General features: G+C 39.5%; 1 protein-coding gene across 13 annotated transcripts in view, besides 1 other annotated feature; it reads left to right on the forward strand.

Annotated features, from left to right (window-relative positions):
• Positions 1-21,145, forward strand: part of MTUS2 (microtubule associated scaffold protein 2) — a 685,985-nt gene that overhangs the window by 397,908 nt on the left and 266,932 nt on the right. The window lies entirely within an intron of this gene.
• Positions 5,020-5,519: an enhancer, noted in NCBI's record as "H3K4me1 hESC enhancer chr13:29797027-29797526 (GRCh37/hg19 assembly coordinates)". NCBI's record gives its function as "activates a minimal SCP1, AML or CMV promoter by ChIP-STARR-seq in naive H9 embryonic stem cells {active_cell/tissue: H9 hESC(naive)}" and the evidence as "EXISTENCE:reporter gene assay evidence [ECO:0000049][PMID:30033119]".

Here is a 21,145-nt window from a genome sequence, read left to right on the forward strand (position 1 = left end):
ACTTTGGGAGGCCAAGTCAGGAAGATTGCTTGAGATCAGGAGTTGGAGACCAGCCTGGGCAACATAATAAGACCTGGTCTCCACAAAGAAATTTTAAAAATTAGCTGGGCTTGGTGATGCATGCCTGTAGTCCCAGCTACTGAGGCTGAGGCAGGAGTATTCCTTGAGTCCAGGAGGTCATGGCTGCAGTGAGTTATGATTGTGCCGTCATACTCCAGCCTGAACAAAAGAGTGAGACCTTGTCCCTCCCCGCCAAAACCAAACCAAAACAAAACAAAACAAAAAAAAAACACCTAAAAACCCCAGTGTTTACAGTGTCTTCATGGGGAGTAGATATTCAATTTCATGAAACCACTTTCTGTGCTCATCCAAAGGAAGCAACTCCCTATCTGTTTATGTTGTATCATAAAATTGCAACAGTTATACCTTCAGCCTCGCCTTCTAATTCTCATTCGTTTGCTATTTCTACCACACACAGTGACTTCTTCCACTGAAGTCCTGAACCCCTCAAAGTCCTCTATGTGGGTTGGAATCAATTTCTTTCAAACTGCTGTTAATTTGAATATTTTGACTTCTTCCTGTGAATTAGAAATGTTCTTAATGGTTTCTAGAATGGTAAATCCTTTCCGATAGGTTTTCAATTTACTTTGCCCAGATCCATTAAGGGAATCATTGTCTATGGCAGCTATAGCCCTACAAAATGTATTTCTTAAGTAATAAGGCTTGAAAGTCATAATTACTTCCTTGATTCAGGGGCCACAGAATGGATATTGTGTTAGCAGACATGAAAATAAGTGTCCTTTTTCATCTCCATCAGAGCGCTTGAGTGAGTGACCAGGTGCATTGTCAATGAGCAGTAATATTTTGAGAGGAATCTTTTCTTCTGAGCAGTAGATCTCAACAGTGGACTTAAAATATATAGTAAATCATGCTGTAAATAGATGTGCTATCATCCAGGCTTTGTTGTTCCATTTCTAGAGCACAGGCACAGACGATTTAGCATAATTGTTTAAGGCCCTAGGATTTTCACAAAGGTAAATGAACATTGGCGTTAACTTAAAGTTTCCAATTGCATTCATTTCTTTTTTTTTTTTTTGTCATATATATTTTTTTTATTATACTTTAAGTTTTAGGGTACATGTGCACATTGTGCAGGTTAGTTACATATGTATACATGTGCCATGCTGGTGCGCTGCACCCGCTAACTCGTCATCTAGCATTAGGTATATCTCCCAATGCTATCCCTCCCCCCTCCCCCCACCCCACCACAGTCCCCAGAGTGTGATATTCCCCTTCCTGTGTCCATGTGATCTCATTGTTCAATTTCCACCTATGAGTGAGAATATGCGGTGTTTGGTTTTTTGTTCTTGCGATAGTTTACTGAGAATGATGATTTCCAATTTCATCCATGTCCCTACAAAGGACATGAACTCATCATTTTTTATGGCTGCATAGTATTCCATGGTGTATATGTGCCACATTTTCTTAATCCAGTCTATCATTGTTGGACATTTGGGTTGGTTCCAAGTCTTTGCTATTGTGAATAATGCCGCAATAAACATACGTGTGCATGTGTGTTTATAGCAGCATGATTTATAGTCCTTTGGGTATATACCCAGTAATGGGATGGCTGGGTCAAATGGTATTTCTAGTTCTAGATCCCTGCATTCATTTCTAACAAGAGAGTTAGCCTGTCCTTTGAAGCTTTGAAGCCAGGCATTGACTTCTCCTCTCTAGTTAGGAAGGTCCTAGATGGCATCTTCTAATAGAAGACTGTTTCATCTACATTTAAAATCTGTTGTTTAGTGTAGCCATCTTCATCAGTTATCTTAGCTAATCATCTGGATAACTTTCTGCCGCTTTTCCATCAGTACTTGCTGCTTCACCTTTTACTTTAATGTTGTGGAGGAACCCACCTCTGCCAACTTGGAAGTTTTCTTCTGAAGCTTCTTTACCTCTCTCAGCCTTCATAGAATTGAAGAGAGCTGGGATGTTGCTCTGGATTATGGTTTGGCTTAAGGGAATGTTGTGGTTGGTTTGATCTTTTATGCAGACCACTCAAATTTCTCATATCAGTAATAAAGCTGTTTTACTTTCTTATCATTCATGTGTTCACTGGAACAGCACTTTTTTTTTTTTTTTGAGACAGAGTTTTGCTCTTGTTGCCCAGGCTGGAGTGCAATGGCACAATCTCTGCTCACTGCAACCTCCACCTCCCGGGTTCAAGCCATTCTCCTGCCTTAGCCTCCCAAGTAGCTGGGGTTACAGGCACCCGCCACCATGACCAGCTGACTTTTTTGTTTTTTTTTAAGTAGAGATGGTGTTTCACCATGTTGTCCAGGCTGGTCTTGAACTCCTGACCTCAGATGATCTGGCCACCTTGGCCTTCCAAAGTGCTGGGATTACAGGCATGAGCCACTGCACCTGGCCCTGGAATAGCACTTTTAATTGCCTTCAAGAACTTTTCCTTTGCACTCACAGCTTGGCTATTTGGTGCAAGAGGCTTAGCTTTCAGCTTATTTTGGCTTTTGACATGCTTTCCTCACTAAGCTGAATCATTTCTAGCTTTGGAGTTCAAGTAAGAGATATGTGACTCTTCCTTTTGACTGAACACTTAGAGCTCATCGTAGGTTATTAATTGGCCTAATTTCAATATTGTTGTGCCTTGGGGAATAGGGAGTCCCAAGGAGAGGGAGAGGGACAGGGAAGAGCCTGTCAATGGATCAGTCAGAACACATACAATGTTTATCAATTAAATTTGCCATCTTATATGGATATGGTTTTTGTGTTGCCTCAAAATAATTGCTGCAGTAATATCAAATGTCACTGATCACAGATCACCATAACAGATATAATAACAATGAAAAAGTTTGAAAGATTGTGAAAATTACCAGAATGTGACACAGAAACAAAGAATGAACATGTGTTGTTGGAAAAATGGCACTGAGAAGTAGATTACACCACAGGGTTTCCGCAGACCTTCAACTTGTAAACAATGTGATATCTGCAAAACACAAGAAAGCAAAGCACGATAGAATGAGGCATGCCTGTGTAGTGTTCTGGTGAAGTATATATTACAAACTATATATCAATTATCCTATTGATAGTCCCATAGTTATTCTACTTTAGACTATTTCCAACAATAGAGGTGTGAATATCCCTCTACATCGTTCTCTCACAGTCTTCCTCCTCCAGGGTTCCCTAGAGAATTAAGCCCTAATGCCCCATGTCACCCACTCTATGTAGGAATTAGCTTCTCACCTGCCTGTGCATCTAGAACAGCTATGAAACATCCTTGGGAGATTTGAGAAAATCCCTCAAAACGTGTTCTGAGTTTTATGGTTCAGAGGAGAACCACAGATTGTGAAAGTCTCTGAGTAGAATTCCTGGGTCATAGGGTTAGTATATTGTTCTTACCTTATGTTAAAAGGCAATGGCCAAATGCCATTCAAAGTATTTTCCAATTAACATTCCCCAGCACTGTGTAAGTAGTTTATTCTCCATTTTTGGTGATAGTTGTTATTCCCAGACTTTTTTTGTGCCAACTAAGCAGTGTAGATGGTATCTTATTGTTTTAATTTTCAGTTTCTGATTATTAGCCTGAGTACATTTTTTATATATATTTTTGGTGTTTGGGATTTCTACAAATTGCTGGTTTATATAATTCCCACATTTCTATTTGGGTTTTATCTTTTTCCTATTTTAGACTTCTTTATATATCCTGGTTACTAATCATGTGTTATGGATAACAAATATATTTTAAATTTACTTATGGTGCCTTTTTTAGATAGAAGTTTTTAATTTTATTTTTAATCAAATTTATCATTCTTTTTCATTATGATTTGTGTTCTTTTTGTTTCTTTAGAAATTCTTAAAGTTTTACTCCAGTTTACCATTCATTTCCATTATTGTTTGTGCTGTTTTTGTTTCTTTAGAAATCTTCCTTACCTGTGTTTTTTTCCCAATATATTTTCCATAAGGTTTCAAGTTTCACTTTTCATATTATAGTTCTTATTTCTCCTGCAACTGATCAACTGATTTTTATGGATACCATGCGATAGATGTCTCATTTTATTTTCTTTTTAGAGATAGAGTCTCACTATATTGCCCAGACTGGAGTGCAGTGGCTATTTATAGGCACCATCATAGCACACTAGAGCCTTGAACTCCTAGCTCAAACAATCCTCCTGCCTCAGCCTTCCGAGTAGTGGGACTACTGGCAGATGACACCATGCCCAGCTTAATTTTATTTGATTTTTTACAGAAATAACTGGCAGTTCAGGAACTATTTATTTAAGTTTGTCTTTGCACATGTCCGTGGTTAACTGCTGTGTCATTGATTTTACTTGTGTGTAGGCTTGTTTCTGAGCTCTCTATTCTATTGTAGTCTGTCTGTTTATCACTGTACTAGTACTGCACCATTTTAATTTTTATAATTTTAGCATAAATTTTGAGATCTGGCAGGGAGATTTCTGCCATTCTTTTTTCTTTATTATTCTCTTATCTGTTCTTGAACCTTTGTTTTTATGTATGAATTTTAGGATTAATTTGTGCAGTTGTTAGGATTTATATTAAAATTATTCTTCGAGTTAATAGAATAATTTTGGGATAACTGATATTTATGATCTTTTCTTTTTCAAGTGAATATGCTATATCTTTGTGATGGAGGTGGTGGCCTGTCTGGAGCAGACGCTGCCATGATGCCAGCTGCAGTGGGAGAGGCGTAGCTGGGGCTGCATGCTCCACAGAGCCAGCAGGAGCCAGGAACGGGTGAGAACCCCACCCCTTCCAAGTTGGAGGGGTGGGAGCCCCGCCCTCCTGGGTGCAGCTGCAGCTGCCCAACCATGGCTGTGGACCCAGGCATCTCTGCACTCTCAGGCCCAGGAAGACTCCCTTTCCTACAGGCTCAGAAGTGCCTGCTGTCACTGCCTGACCTCTCCCCTCTCCTGGCATCTGCTCCAATTGCGGAGCAAAGTTGTGGCCAATCCCCAGTGCTGTCACAACCCAGCTAGGTGTGCACACACTCAGGACATCACCAACATGCCAGCTCTGAGCTGTCTCGGCCCCCTCTGGACTTTGGGCACCAACGAACATGGGACAGAGGCCAAGTCAGGACTAAGGGTGGCTCAGTGTGGGCCCACAGACACCCCTTGGCACAAACAGTCTGGACACTGTGGGCACCATGGATGGCAGGTTAATGGCAGCAGGAGGCAGATGGGCTTCTGGGCAGAAAGGGGTGGGTCCCTAGTGAAACCCCACCCTCATGTCAGGGATAGCCCAAGGCCTGGGGGCCCAGGCTGCCAGTTCTGTGGACTGGAGTGAGAACTTACGGTGCTTTCTTTGGGCCTGTCCATGGCCACCCATGGACAAATCAGCATGGAATTTCTCCCCTCTGAAGCCCATAAAATCCCTGGACTCAACCAGACTGGGGCAGGTGACAGGATGACCTGCCTGTGGAGTGGAGCTACCCACTGTGGGCCTCCTCTTTGCTGAGAACTGAACAGATGATGGATGCCCTGCCTGTGGAGAGCTACATACTGTGGGTCTCCCCTCTGCTGAGAGCTGAGTAGACTTCAGGACAACCTGCCCGTGGACATGAGCTACTCACTGCAGGTCTCCCCTCTGCTGAGAGCTGATCAGATGTTGGGACAACCTGTCTGCAGAGAGTAGCTACCCACTGCAAGTCTCCTCTGAGATGTTCTGACACTCAATAAAGCACCTCTTTGTCTGGCTCACCCTCCACCTCTCCATGAGCCTCATTCTTCCTGGACATGGGACAAGAACTTGGGACCCATTGAATTGTGTGGCCAAAAGAACTGTAACACAAACAGGCTGAAACATGCCCCTTGCTCACCATGTTGGAGGTGATGAGAAGGAGAGAAGAAAGGAGAGAGGATCTGTGGCCCTCCTGGGAGTCCAGAACTAGGAGCTCCCTGAGCCAGGGCTGTGACACCCTCTTTGGAGTTCTGCAGTTCCTTTTGTCCTCAAGCTTCCAGGAGCCACCACATTCCCTGTGCCAGCCATGAAAGCTGCTTGTGGTACATCTGGTCCAACCACAGCCTTGCACGGAACCAGCGCCTGTGCTGGCACCTGGAGCTGTCTGCCCTGCTGCAGCCACCATGCCTGGCTGTGCACAGTGGCTGGACCCCACACTCTCTCACTCACACATTCCTTGCTGCTCCACACCTGGTTGCCCTTGGCAGGAATGGGATCCAGGCTGGTAGCACAAGTGGAGCGCAACCTGCCAGGTTGAGTGGGTGGAACGAGCCCAGTGGACCCAAGCAAAACTCAGGTAAAGGTGCCACTGGCCATAAAGGTTTCTGGCCAGAAAAGTGACACCCCAAGGATCCTATGACATTTGCATATGATCAAGTGCTCTCGTAGTACCTTGGCAATATATTGTAATTTACTTCAAAAAGGCCCTTCATGTCTTCTGTAAGATGTAGTCCTGAGTGCTTTACATTTTTCCAGCTATTATCCCTTCAAATATTTCTCTTACGCTTTATTTATTTTCCATGTTGCTTAGCTACTCTTTTTTTAATGTCTTTTTTTTTATACTGTTCTTCATTGCACAGTCCAGAGTTAATCCCATCTGGACTGTTTTTATTTATTTAAATGGCCAAATCTTTTATTTCCAAAAATTCTAATTATATCTCTCCTATATCTATATGTTGTTTTATAGCTGTTTTGTTCCATAATTTGGGGGTATTTTTAAAATGGGTGTACCTTAATTTATTTTCTAAGTATCCTAAATATTCTTATTTTAAAATCTTCATCAGTCTGGTCCATAAATTTAATTCTTTTGTGATAAATTCATGTAGTGCTTTTTGCTGTCTTTCTTAGCATTGTGTGGCTTAAGTAGTTTTGTAGCTTTTGTTCACAGGCTCATTTTGTTGTTGCTACTGTTTCTCTTTTTCCCACAATATTTGCCCTCCCTATTTAGTGGTTATGTCCACCAAGTTCTGGGGCCTCCAATCCACCAAGTTCTGGAGACTCCAATCCAGAATGAGGTCTTCACAGGCAACTTGAGCTCCTGTCCAATGATGATATTATTACTGATCCAATCACTGCACCAGGGTTTAGTGGGAGTTGAGGGGCTGCGGTGGTTCCTGGTCACCAGGCTGTGTCTGCTTCCTCCACCTTTCCTAGGGCTGCAGCCTCCCAGAAGCTGGGGCCCAGGCATCAGTGAGCAGCAGGCTTTGCTCAGCTTCCTTCACAAGACTGGCTCCTTGTCAGCCTACCCTGGGCAGCAGAGCACACCCAGTTCCTGCCTCCTGTAGGAGCCTGCCTGCAGCCTGGGAGCCTGGTGAGCTGAAGGCTCAAGCCCTTCCCTGTCTTTGTGTTCTCTTCCAATTCTGATTCTCAACTCTTTCTTCATTTGCAAGAGGACCATGGTTTCTTCTATTTATATTTTTAATCCGTTACTGGCATATGTCAGAGCAGAGGATATACATCATAGTGTGATCATATTTTGCCCTTTCAACCCATCCTCAAATCTGATTTAAAAAAATAATTTCCAAAGTTACGCAGTGTTATTGTAAGATTTTCCTATCACAACGGGGCAATTGTGTACATTTCAACCCCCTGCTTCTGTCTCTCTTTACACAATCATAGAATTGAGGGTGACATTCTTTTGGTAAATCATATCATGATCCACCAGCTGAAAGATTAATTTAAGAAAGATGATTAGAAAGAGACATCTGAATAGTTTATCTGAGCCATAAGCATGGACATCAGTGACAGGATTTAAATAGCTGAAATGAATTCTCTTTAGTTTCCTTGTCGTAACAAATTAGCATCAAAATGTTTTTACCAGTTTAGGTAAGGTGGTGTCAGAAAATCTGACGGTTTTTTGCTGATCATAAATTATCGCTGTGCTCATGTGCTGACCGAAAGAATATTTTCTGTTAATAGAATATCTAGTGTGTGTTTTGGAACAAGAATGATAATACAGTATTAGTATTGTCCTGGGATGTACCATACTCTGTGTAATTTTTTTCAACAATTTGTCAACAGTCTAAGTAAATAAGAAATTGCGCCTTCTCTTTAGTAAACTGTGTATGTTCATTACTTCAAGCTTATAGAACAACAATGGTAATCAACCTGGAATTGATATGTCCTTTAGAATTAGGGTTGTATCTCCAAAAATGCCATATTAAATTTTGGTTAGTGCTGGCCGTACTTTCTAGTGTTCTGCTGAGTTAATATTAGCCTGCATCTCATCTTCATCATTCCACCCAACCTTAAACCATGCCAGAGAAGCAGCCTCCCCCAGATTAAAAAGATAACATTACATATTCTTCATGGGGCTGTCAGATTTACATTCACTTTAGGTTAAGTTAAAAGATACATGTTTAAAAGATGAAAATGGAATAAAGATACTTGGAAATAGTTCATTGTAGGTTTCACCAAATAATATTTGACATGTACAGTGAAATTTAACTGCTAAACTTAGGTGGCTTTTCATATTCTCATTTATACTATCAAGAGAAGGGGATGACAGCATTTGACTTAAAATATTAAAATATCAAAGCTTTTCACTTAAAATATTAAAATATCAAAGCTTTTCAGATGAAGAATTCAGAGAGCTAGGCACCTTCCCTCAGTCAGAGGCCACCATCACTTGATACTTCAAGGAAACTTCATTTGCACTCCCAAAACAGGACCTGTATTTGTTGTTTTGATATTTTAAAATTTTAAATATTAGATAAATATTAATTTTTTTCTCCAAAGCTTTTAAGACTATAAAATTTAGTAGGGTTCATCAGAATTCTAAAATGTGGAAATAAATTCCTTAAAACTTGAATTACCTTTATTTATACTTGAAGTCTCTTTAATATTAAAATTTTTACTGAGGAAAAGGAATCTATGCCTTTGAATAGCCAAAGGAAAAATATTTGAATAAATAGAAATAATCAATAGCCATACATGTAAGCTTTGTTACTTTTAAAGCTTTACTTAAAAGCCAAAATTAAGCCATTGTAAAGATGTTGTTTGATCTCAGAATCCTTTCAAGAAGAGTGATTACAGGTTTCAGAATGATAGCAGGGTTCTCAAGTCTTCTCTTCCCTTCTTACATGTGTCCTGGACTTGAATCTGCATAGGGGCTGGGGGCGGTGGGTCATGCCTGTAATCCTAGCACTTTGGGAGGCTGAGGCAGGTGGATCTCTTGAGATCAGGAGTCTGAGACCAGCCTGCCCAACATGGCGAAACCCTGTCTTTACTAAAAATACAAAAAATTAGCTGGGTGTGGTAGTGTGTGCCTGTAATACGAGCTACTCGGGAGGCTGGGGTAGGAGAATCACTTGAACCTGGGAGGCAGAGGCTGCAGTGAGCTGAGGTTGGGCCACTGCACTCCAGCCTTTGCAACAGAGCAAGACTCCGTCTCAAAAAAAAAAAAAAAAAAGAAACTGCGTAGAGGCAGCTTCATCCTCAAAAAGAAAACCCGTGGTGTTATGTCATGACAAATTGAGAGAGGTTTGCCCCTCTTTGGGAGTTTCAGCTATTGATTAAATATCTCTTTGCCACTATGAATGTGTCTGTAGCACCCAGGCAAGTGACCCGAGGGGCTCGCTGTCTTAAGCTGCACCAAGTGACCTGAGCCCTTTGGCTTCTCTTCCTGCCAGAGAAGAAGCCAAGAATTAAATCAAGGCAATCTCTTGAATTTGCTTCTAAGACAGCTTCCATACCATCATACCAAGGAGAATCTGAGGGTTTTCTGGTGCTACATGGGTTGGCATTCTTTCCTTTTGTGGAAAACAAGGGAAGATGAAATTATAGGCAGGAATGCTATCTCTCTAACCTCTGAGAGGGAAGTTACTTTATCCTTGGAATAAAACTGTTAGGCTTTGCTGTTGCACACTCCACCAAACAAGAGAGTCATGTGCTACTCCTAGAAGTTACATACTATTTCTATTATGCAATCTAGGGCCTCTCAAACTTGGCAGTGAAAAGAAAACACATGCCATAGAGAATATTAAGGTGTGGATGGCTGAAAGTCCCATGTTTTGTTAAAGTCTTATATGTCTTCCAAACAATTATGTAACTTTTGTATTCTATTCCAAAACATATCCAGTTTTATATTAATAGAATTATAGTGTTTTTTCTTACATTTGTGAATTATTGCATCCTTTTTGGAAAGCAATTTGGCAGTATCTATTTTATATGTATGCTTTTTCACCCAGCAATCTTACTCCTAAGAATCTGTCTCACAGAAATAAAAGCATCAATACATGAAGATATATGCATAATGATATTTATGACCACATGTCATGGCAAAAATTGGAATGAAATGAATGGCATTCAGTAGGGGAGTGGGTGAATACGTGATAAATTGTGGAGCCTCCATGTCGTGGAATACTGTACAGACATTAAAGAGAATGAATTGGAAATCTGCCAGATGATTTGAAGGGATTCCCGTGAGTAAAGTAAAATGCAAGAAAGTGTAAAGAGCCCACCTCTTTTTTTAGATATGGGATCTCACTCTGTTGCCCAGGCTGAAGTACAGTGACGTGACCATAGCTCACTGCAGCCACAACCTCCTGGGCTTAAGTGTGCCTCCCATCTCAGCTTCCTAAGTAGCTGGAACATCAGGAGTGTGCCACCACACCTGGCTATTTTTTTTGTTTAATTTTTGTTAGAGCCTCACTATGTTGCCCAGGCTGGTCCCAAACTCCTGGGCTCAAGCAGTCCTCCTGCCTCAGCCTCCCAAATTGTTGGGATTGCAGGCATGAGACACTAGGCCTGGCCCTGTGTGTGTACATATATGCTTTGTAACTAATATTAGCATGAGGAACTAAGTAACTCACCAGGTTGTCTGAGGTGGAAGGGGTGCAGAGAGAGGAGAGGATGAAGGAAGCAAAAATGAAGAGAAAGGAGAAGGGGGGGAAGAAAACATCCCTTTTATATCATTACATAAAATTAGACGTGTGATATATGTAATACAAATTTTAGATAAACAAATTTTCTCCCTTCTTGTAAAATTGAAAAAATGCACAGGTTTGTGCTTTGCATTCTTCTTGACCCATAACAACATAGCTCTGGGAACAGCTATGCATTGGCTTGAGAAACGTGGACAAGACAATATCCTTAGGACAAAGATCCACCAAGGATAAGCCACTGCACTGCCTCCGGCTGCTAGCATGCCTGCATCCACGAAGGTCCTGTTGATTCTGCCATGAAGTTAACACTGAGGGGCTTCTTCACTGAGGCAGACTGTGATCATTTTAAAGGCCCCCGAGACTTTGATACCTTGATTCTGGGGTTGGTTTCTGCTGGCTCCCCTGTCTTTCATGCATCACCTGATTTGACCTCTAGTTTTCTGCAGTAATTCTTGGTTGTTTTCTGTGTTCCACCTTTGGTCACTGACTTTAACTTTGTTTTGACCTCTAGCTTTCGTGTAATTTCTGCATCTGAACCATTAGTTTCATTGTAAAGTACTTTGTCCTCAACATTTTCACTCATTTTCTTGACCTTTACTTGGAACAGTCTGTCTTCTTAATCCACTTTATCATGGTTCAGGGTCAAGGACACTTTTAATATGTACGATACTAAATGCAGATTCCTTTCCCATTGACATTTTCATGGAGCCATCCAAAGTAGCTATATTATTAACGACAGAGATTCACATGGACCTCTAATGTGTTTCATGTTGCTTTAAAAGTATGAATCCTGTAGTTAAATTTGGATGTTTGGGTTGGACTCGGTCTCAATTTACCATTTTAATTTCTTTGTCTTTAAAAATAAACTCACAATCTCAGTTTCAGGAGGAAATCTTAAAGGTATAAAATCCAACAATACCTCAGATACAGGAATCTTTTCTGAAACACTTCCACAAAGTGCTTGGCCAAAATTTCTGAACTCTTTCCTGTTATTATAGGAAACTCACTATCCTCAGAGGTAAACCATTTTCATTTGTGTACATTTCTTCCTTATTTAGATTAAACTTATATCTGGCCAGTGATTTGCTCATACTTTTACTGGCAGCCAGATAAAAATTATATTTTTTTATGAATGAAGACGACATCATCAAGAACCTCTAAAAAGTTTTATACACAATGTATAGCATTCGACTTTTAAAAATTACCAAGTATTGGGCCGGGCACAATGGCTCACGCCTGTAATCCCAGCACTTTGGGTGGCCGAGGCAGGCGGATCACGAGGTCAGGAGACCAAGATCATCCTGGCTAACACAGTGAAACCCTGTCTCTACTAAAAATACAAAAAATTAGCCGGGCATGGTGGTGGGCACCTGTAGTTCCAGCTACTCGGGAGGCTGAGGCAGGAGAATGGAGTGAACCCAGGAGGCGGAGCTTGCAGTGAGCTGAGATCACGCCACTGCGCCCCAGCCTGGGAGACAGAGCAAGACTCCGTCTCAAAAAATAAAAATACAAAAATAAAATAAAAAATAAAAATTACCAGGCATTCCAAGAACAAGGACCATTAAATAACTAAAAATCAAGAGAGAAGAAACTGATAAAATCACCTTGTGAGACTGCTTGGAGCTCTAGGTTGCTGCTTTCTTCTCTACTTCGGTATTCTGTGCTCCAAGTCAGCAAAGGACCCAAGGAGAAAAATCAGCAGCGAAGGCCTGGCTTACATCTTTATATGTTTTGCTTCATGCTGGCATTAACGTGCACAAATCCTAGCTGCTGTTATTGCTCTCTAATACCTTCAAGTAGCCTTGTGATTTTTGCTGTTTTCAGTGAGAGGGTTGGTCTGATATAAGCAACTTCCTCATAGTCAGAAGCAGGCTGAACATGTGATAATGAGAAATGTCAATTAAGCATTATTTATTTTCACAAACTTTGAAATCAGGTAACTTTGGAAGAGTTAAGGCTTCAACTTCACAATTTCAGGACTAGAGTGCAGGCCTTTATTTTTATTTCTGGAGACTGATTTCAGTATAGGAAAATGAGATGCATTGTTCATGCCAGATAACCTTACCAGTGAGTTCCTATATTTGTGTTCCCTTCTGAATATCTATGCAGAAGAGTATTTAGGTGGGTTGCAGCATCACACAAGAATGGCAAGTCTTTAATCCTTTTTTCACCATTGGATTTTGCCTGCATTACGGGAAAAAAGGATTTCTTTCAGTACTTTAGAAAATATCTTTAATACCATAATCTGATTTTATATAGCATAGCCAAATACCATGTTGTACATCTGATCCATCCAGCCAAGCATTGAATTGCTGTGGTTCAAGCCCCAAGCAGTTCAAACCATCTCACTCATCATTTTATTATGTGTGTTTTTAAGGTTTTAGTACAAAGAATTTCCTGGTGAATGATTCAATGAACTGACATAAATAATTTCTATAAAATGTTGTTATTGAATATTATAATATAAACATGTTATGTTTTATAGCACGTATGAAATTACCATCCCCAGGAGGAAAATTTTAGATATTCTTATTACATTAAGCTCCTTTAAAAAAGTTTTTTAAAACTTTTTCCAACACACAAAACTAAATACTTTCCTGCTGCTGTCTGTTTCATCGGCACCATGTCCACCATTTCTTCGGTCACACCAAATTTCTCATCACATCACAGATAGAGCTTACAGTGCTCACATCAGCTGTGATAGAAAATGTCACAAATAATTTATCTTTTCATGCAACTTGTCCTGCACGTTTTGCACTAATTCTTCAATACCCTGAACAACAGTGTTTCAGGCTACACTTATATTTACAAAAGGTTATTTCTGTGTGTTCAGGATACACGATTACAGCTACATTCAATAAACACTTTTAAAAACTCATCACCCCTAAAAGGCTTCATGTTCAGCAGTTCACTTAACTCATTATTTCACAGTTGCAACAGCTATTTGTTCACATTCAGAAACAAATCTTACTGAAGTTGTAGTTCTTTTTTCTCATGTTATTAAGTTTTCATCATAAATCTTGCCCTATGCCAGCATTTATTGTGGTTTATTTCAAAATGTCATCGTATGCTGTATTCCTTCAGTACAGATATGCTTATTTGCATGTTAAACACCTAACATATTTTTACATGGAAGTGAAGAAAATTATTTTCTCACATTTTTATGGCACATTCAGTATTTTGGATCTTTATTTTGTTGCTTTAATATGAGGATATAAGAATTTTTTTACTTATATTCAAATAAAAGAGAAATAAAAGCACAGTTTGACAACTAATGGTAATTTACATTTGGCCTAAGAGTTGTATAGGCAGTGGAGACTGTGGCAAAGGAATACATGCCCTGTCTAAAGGTGCAAAGTCTCTACCTCACTGCAGCTAGGTATCATTTAGTATTTCCAGATCTTCTGCTTTTATTAATAAAAGCCAGAAATTCAGATTTTTGTAGGAAATTCCTCAAGTTTGAATGTTGTTAATTAATAACATGATTTCCAAAAACAATGTGTAGGCCAAACAGAATATACATACATACACACACACACACACACACGCGCGCGCGCACACACACACACACACGCACACATACACATATGGGCACACACATGTATATTGTGCTGATTGGGCTTGTGTCAGTTTAAAACCTCAGTTTTATGTAATCATAAATTCCAAGAATGTGAGAGCTGGATGGAACTTTAGAGTATATGTAAAATAAATAGCCATTGGGGGGGAAGAGTAAGACCAGACTCTGGACTCCCGACTCCGAGTTCAGGACACTACGGGTTTCTAATCTGTTTTACAGAAAATATTTTTGATCTGAAAAGTTGAAAATCAAAGCAGAAAGAGTTCAAAGAATGATAGTTAGTTTGCTTAAGTGGCTTATTTTTTTACCTGAATTAACTGGGTAGTTCTATCTACCTTTTGCTCATTTTTAGCTTAATAGATTTGACTATGTGGAGAGAAGGGGGAGTTAGTACTGTCTGGGTTTCCTCACGTTACCTATGATTCAGAATTAATTACTGTTTGCTTCCTGCTTTAGTTCAGGTAGGTAGAAAATTCTGTTTTCACAACATGGAGCATTAGCTATTCCAGGAGAAATGTCTGTATTAAACGTTGTGGGAGTGAAAGCATTCCTCACAAGATTTAAAGTGTTTGAATTTAAAATTCGGCTGTTGTTTTCAACTGAATTAGGAGGGATTTCACAGTGAATGTTCCTAAATGTTCAGAGTCTCCTGTCCAAAAAGAAAACAAAAGGATTGGGCCTGGACATTAACAAAAAGAACAGCAAAATGACTCTGAAGTCATGTGAAAGCAGAGTTAGTAAATACCATGTGAAATTATTCCATCATGTGTTGGCCTTACTGTTGCCTTTTTGAAAAATAGGTTAATAAGGTTCACCTTTCTTTCCACTTCATTCTTCCGACTGTGATGTAGTTGGATGATTGCTTAGTGCTATTTATTGAGGGTTTTGGTTTTTGCATTTTTTAAGAAAAAAAAAAAAGTTTGGGGTAATGTAGAAACACCCTGAGCCTAGCACAGTTGGACATAGGTGACCAAAAAGTGGACTTGGCTTAGACAATCGGTGAGAACAGACTTGTGATATCACCAGGGGGGATGATCACACTGACCCCACAGGCATCTTGGGACGAAGTAGGGAAGTGTACCCACCGTGAAGTCTACCCGGAAGTATAACAGTAAAACTATCGTCGACATTCATGATTGATGTCATTTTATATTTCTCTTTATATAGGTTTGGTAGTCTGAAGCACGTAGCTGAATAGTTTTATTACCACTGGTAGTTAACAGCAACCTGCTGGAGATGCCAATAACAAGCTAAAATTCAGAACCTCGTGCTGGGAGAAATGTGATTTTGTATTTTCACTCACCCACAGACATTTTGTATTTGTGGTGATCCAATCTCAGCTTTTTAATTCTGTCTAAGAAGTTGCTATTTCCAGGGAAACATTTCTGCCATGATTTCGAAAAGGGAGAGGTAAATCTAACATATCACCTGGAGATTGACAGGAAAGGAAGGAAAACAACTCTTTTGAATGCTTTTGGAAGAAAAAAACCTGAGCCATTTTAGTCATTCCCATTTCAGAAGGTTATTCTCATCTGAAAAAGACATTTGAAAAGTTGAAATGGAATACTGCCACTGCCATACCTCACATGGCAAAGGGAAGTAACAGACAATTATTTTTGTAGCTGCTTCTCAAAAGAGAAGCTACGTAGGACTAAGCCTACATTTTTAAGAAAAAATGGGAAAATCAGCAGTTATTCAGTGAATTTCAGGTCAAGAGTCAGTCATGATTTTTGCCCTGCAGTACATAAATTGGCTTTTCTGGAGGGAAAATAGCTTCCAGTCCCTCTTCCATTATAATGATAATATGGTTTTATAATATAAAACAGTTAAAAAACATAAACACATAATAATTGATTTCGATTTTTCACTTCAAAGATATCTATTGAGCACCTACTATATTCTGTGCAGGCCAGGTGTTGGGGCTTCAGTAGTGTACAGACAGGCATGCTCTGGACCCTCTCTCACCATGCCTGAGGATTCCACCGAAGACTCCTCCACACGTGATATTGGTAAATGCACATAGACTTGTGAATAATTTTGTAAGAGATTATCTTACACAAGCATTTCTGCAGCATAATATGACCTATCCAACAGGTCATTCTTTACTGATGAATATAACCATGCACCAAACTCTTTAATGACTACATAGTATTCAGTTGCATGTTTCTACCATTATTTAGGTAAAGCTATCTTTTATTTAAAAAATTATTTTGATGGAAAGCCTGAAAATGAGGTCAAGCCTGATTTGTAGCCAAATGGCTAACCAATTGTACAAACACTTAGAAAAAAACTCCTTTTTTTCTGATTTATAATGCTGTTTCTGTCACCTGCTGAGATCTCCTTCTGTACCCTTCATTTCGTGGATTAGTCTGTTTCCCACTATGTAATAGTATAGCATTTAGGTGGTACACCCCCTTAACGCTTCCTCTTCTATTCCCCACAACCCCTCCTATTCTCACAGATTTATCCTTCAACATGGCCTTTGGATATCAGTTTTTCAAGGCCACTTCCCCAAAAAATAGGAGTTACCACTTTTTTTTTATTAGTCTCTTATGTTTTCAGTTAAATTTATATACAAGTTTTTATTTATTTGTAAATAATTTAAGTGGGATTTTTAATGTTCTTTCTTAAACTAATCAAGCTGTCAGTTGATCATTTAATTTAATGCATATTGTTAATGATATTTTCAGTGGATTATTTTTGGACTTAGTATGTTAATATCATCTGCAAGTAATGGTAATTTTTCAAATTTAATTTAGTTAATTAATTAATTAATTAATTTTTTTGAGACCTGGTTTTGCTCTTGTTGCCCAGGCTGGAGTGCAGTGGCACGATCTCAGCTCACCGCAACCTCCGCCTCCTGGGTTCAAGCAGTTCTTCTGCCTCAGCCTTCCGAGTAGCTGGGATAGGCATGCGCCACCACGCCTGGCTAATTTTGTATTTTTGGTAGAGATGGGGTTTCTCCATGTTGGTCAGGCTAATCTCGATCTCCTGACCTCAAGTGATCTGCCCTCCTCGGCCTCCCAAAGTGCTGGGATTGCAGGCATGAGCGACCGCACCCGGCCAATAATGGTAATTTTTATCATTTCTAATATTTAAACCTTAAAAAAAGTTCTCATTTTAACTGTACCTCTTAAATAATATTCAAAAATAGTGATGTTAAATTATTATCTCACTTGAGCTTTATTGAGGATGCTTCTAGTATTTGTTAATCTTAATGGTTCAGTTGAAACTATTAAACGTGTGGTCTGAAATGCATGCTTTGTTCATTTTAAGGAATTATCCCGATTCAGATTTTATTCAATCCTTTTTTTTCAATCAAGAATAAATGTTGAATTTTTTCAAAGGTTTATTTAAACCAATAATTAACAGACTTCTATGATTTTTATCCTTGACTCATTGACAGAATGAATTATTTAAATAGATTTTCTAGGATTATTTTTCTCTGTACTGTTGGACTAGGTTATTTGCATATTAATTCTTTATGATTCACTCATGACCATTTTGGCCTGGAGCTTATTATAAATCAATAACTGGCAACTTTCTCAATGATATTTTTTGCTTTTTAGCCTACTAAGGTGTTCCAATTAATATATACAACATTTTTCTACAAAATTACGCATTTCACTCAAGTTTTCTAATCTACTAACATATTGTTCTTAAAATTTTATCTGAATCTCTGTCTTCCCCTCCTATATCCAGTATTATATACTTGCATTTTTTCTTGATTAGCTAAATGTTTGTATGGTATATTGAGTTTTTTTCCTCAAAGAAAACTTTAACCTATTAATCTACTCTTTCTCCTCTAATTTATTGTTATTTTTTATCTTTAAATCCATCTTTTGGCTTGTCAGGGTCATTCAATTGCCGGGGGCAATTCTTTGGATTCTTTATAGCGTCTTCTGTTGAGCACTTACTTCATTTATTTTATTGTCTCTTAGCACAGTAGGTATATTTTACTCAATATTGTCTTGTATTCGATATGTTCTATTACATAATTAGAGTGAGATTTTTTTAATCAAATTATTTTTGGGAGTATAAGGACACATAATTCTGACCCCAGTCAGTCAACTTTCCCACAAACTCCCTGAAAACTCAAGCCCTAGTACAACCTAGGCAAGAACCTAGAAAGCTGGAGTGAACTGTGTGGAACACTAATTTTTCCTAGACAGAAGAGGTTGAAATAGCTTGTGGTGAAAGGCAACCATGCAGACTCTTCTATTTTACTTATTTTAATGGGCAAGCCCAAATCCAATTCAGTATTAGGATAGTTACAGTACACGACCACCAACGCTATGAGAAATGGAAACAGAAAGGTAATGCTGAGCAAGGAAAAGCTGTTAGTGCAGAATGTCTAGTGTCCAGCTCGTCTAGGCCATGGAAGGGTCTCCAGTGGAGGAAGAGAGAGAGAAAGGAGGTGAGATGCTCCTGCCTTCTTCCATGCAGGAACAGGTGCTATTGTTACCATCCTGACTTTCTGGAAGGGAAATGCAGAACATTCAGACCTATGGATCTATTTTTAATATTGATCACTAACAGATGTATCCCAATCTGAGTCCTGGAATGTGAGCAATTGTATCAATTCTTGTTCTCTGTTGGAAAGAGCAGGAGAAAGACAGGAAAATAAACACAGAGAAAAGAATCAACTTATCCCTAGTGGCCAACTGTTTTCATCTGTACCCATTAAATATTTGTTATTTTCTGCAGTTGTGGTTTTGATGCCTTCCTTGATCTAAGAGTTGTGTAGAAGACCATTTTTAAAATTTCCAGCAGATCTGGCTTACTTCTATTTTAGGTATTTATGTCTAGTTATATAGAAATATGATCACTGGAGGTGATTTAAAAGGGTTCTTTAACATTTTAGAATCTTTTGACTATGGGCTCATGTTCATTTGTGGTGGCTTTCCAGGACACTCCTGTGTGCTCTGGGCTAGAGAAGTATCCTTTACAGATGATTTTATTTTCCTACCAGAGCTCCAGGGAGCTTTCCCTAGCTGTGGGTCTGGTTTTTTTGGGTCATTTCTCAGCCTAGATTTCCTGAGTCCCAACATCCTCCTTGTCTCAGGCTAAGAGGGCTCTAGTTTTCTTCAGCTGATTCCACCACCCTGCCCCCAAGCAGATTTCACGCTTCTCTGCTGCTTCTCCAGGCTGAGGGTGGAATTCTCCAGGACCTGCATGTCCTGATTTTTGGTGGGTAAGTCTCTCCAGCTCCCTGTGATCTGTTATCTGGACCCAGTGCCCACAGGACTATCAAGACTCCAGACAATAAGGGTATGTCTGTTGTCATTTTGGCTTCAGCTTCTACTCTGGGATTACTTCTGTGACTTCGATTCTCTCTTGACTTTGTATACCTGGAGATTTCTCTTTCTTGATTTCAGCACAACTTTATAATTGAAAGTTATTTTGCTAAAATATAGGCAAATGACCTGAGTAGACATTTGTCAAAAGAAGACATACAAACGGCCAACAAGTATATGAAAGTGTGCTCAACTTCATTAATCATCATGGAAATGCACATCAAAACCAGAATGAGATAGCACCTCACACCCATTAAGATGGCTGTTATCAAAAAGACAGAAGATAAGTGCTCATAAGAATGTAAAAAAAAGAAAAAAAGAAAAGAAACATGTATACTGTTGGTTGGGATATGAATTAGTTCAGCCATTATGGATAACAGTATGGAGGTTCCTCAAAAAATTAGAATTACCATATGATCCAGCAACCTCATGACAGGGTATATACCAGAGGAACTGAACTTGGTATGTCGAAGGGATCTCTGCATTCCCATGTTCATCACAGCATTGTTCACAACAGCCAAGACAAGAAGACAACCTAATGTCCATTGACAGATACGTGAATTAAAAAATATAGCATACAATGGAATGTTGTTCAGCCTTTAAAAAGAAGGAGATCCTGTCATTTATGATAACATGCATTAGGGTTCTCTAGAGGGACAGAACTAATAGGATAGATGTATAATATGAAAGGGAGTTTACTAAAGAGTATTGACTCACACCATCACAAGGTGAAGTCTCACAATAGGCTGTCTGCAAGCTGAGGAGCAAGGAAGCCAGTCCGAGTCCCAAAACCTCAAAAGTAGGGAAGCTGACAGTGCAGCCTTCAGTCTGCGGCCAAAGGTCCAAGAGCCCCTGGCAAACCACTGATGTAAGTCCAACAGTCCTAAAAGCTCAAGAATTTGGAATGTGATGTTTTGAGGGCAGGAAGCATACAGCATAGGAGAAAGATGAAGGCTGGAAGACTGAGCAAGTCTGCTAATGCCACCTTCTTTTGCCTGCTTTTTTCTAGCTCTGCTGGCAGCCAAGGGGATAGTGCTCACCCAGATTAAGGGTGGATCTGCCTCTCCTAGTCCACTGATTCAAATGTTAATCTCCTTTGGCAACACCCTCACAGACACACTCAGGAACAATACTTTGCATCCTTCAATCCAATCAAGTTGACACTCAGTATTAACCATCACGGTGGATGAACCTGGATTACATTATGCTATAGGTAAAATAAGCCAGACACATGTGACAAATGCTGTATGATTTCACTTACATATGAAATCCATCAAAGTCAAACTCATGGAAGCAGAGAGTGGAATAGTGATTGTCAGGGGATGGAGGGTGGGGTAAATGGGGAGATCTTGGTCCAAGGATACGAAGTTTCGGTTATGCAGGATGAATAA

This window comes from Homo sapiens, chromosome 13 (genome assembly GCF_000001405.40).
Source record: "Homo sapiens chromosome 13, GRCh38.p14 Primary Assembly".
Lineage (NCBI taxonomy): Eukaryota > Metazoa > Chordata > Mammalia > Primates > Hominidae > Homo > Homo sapiens.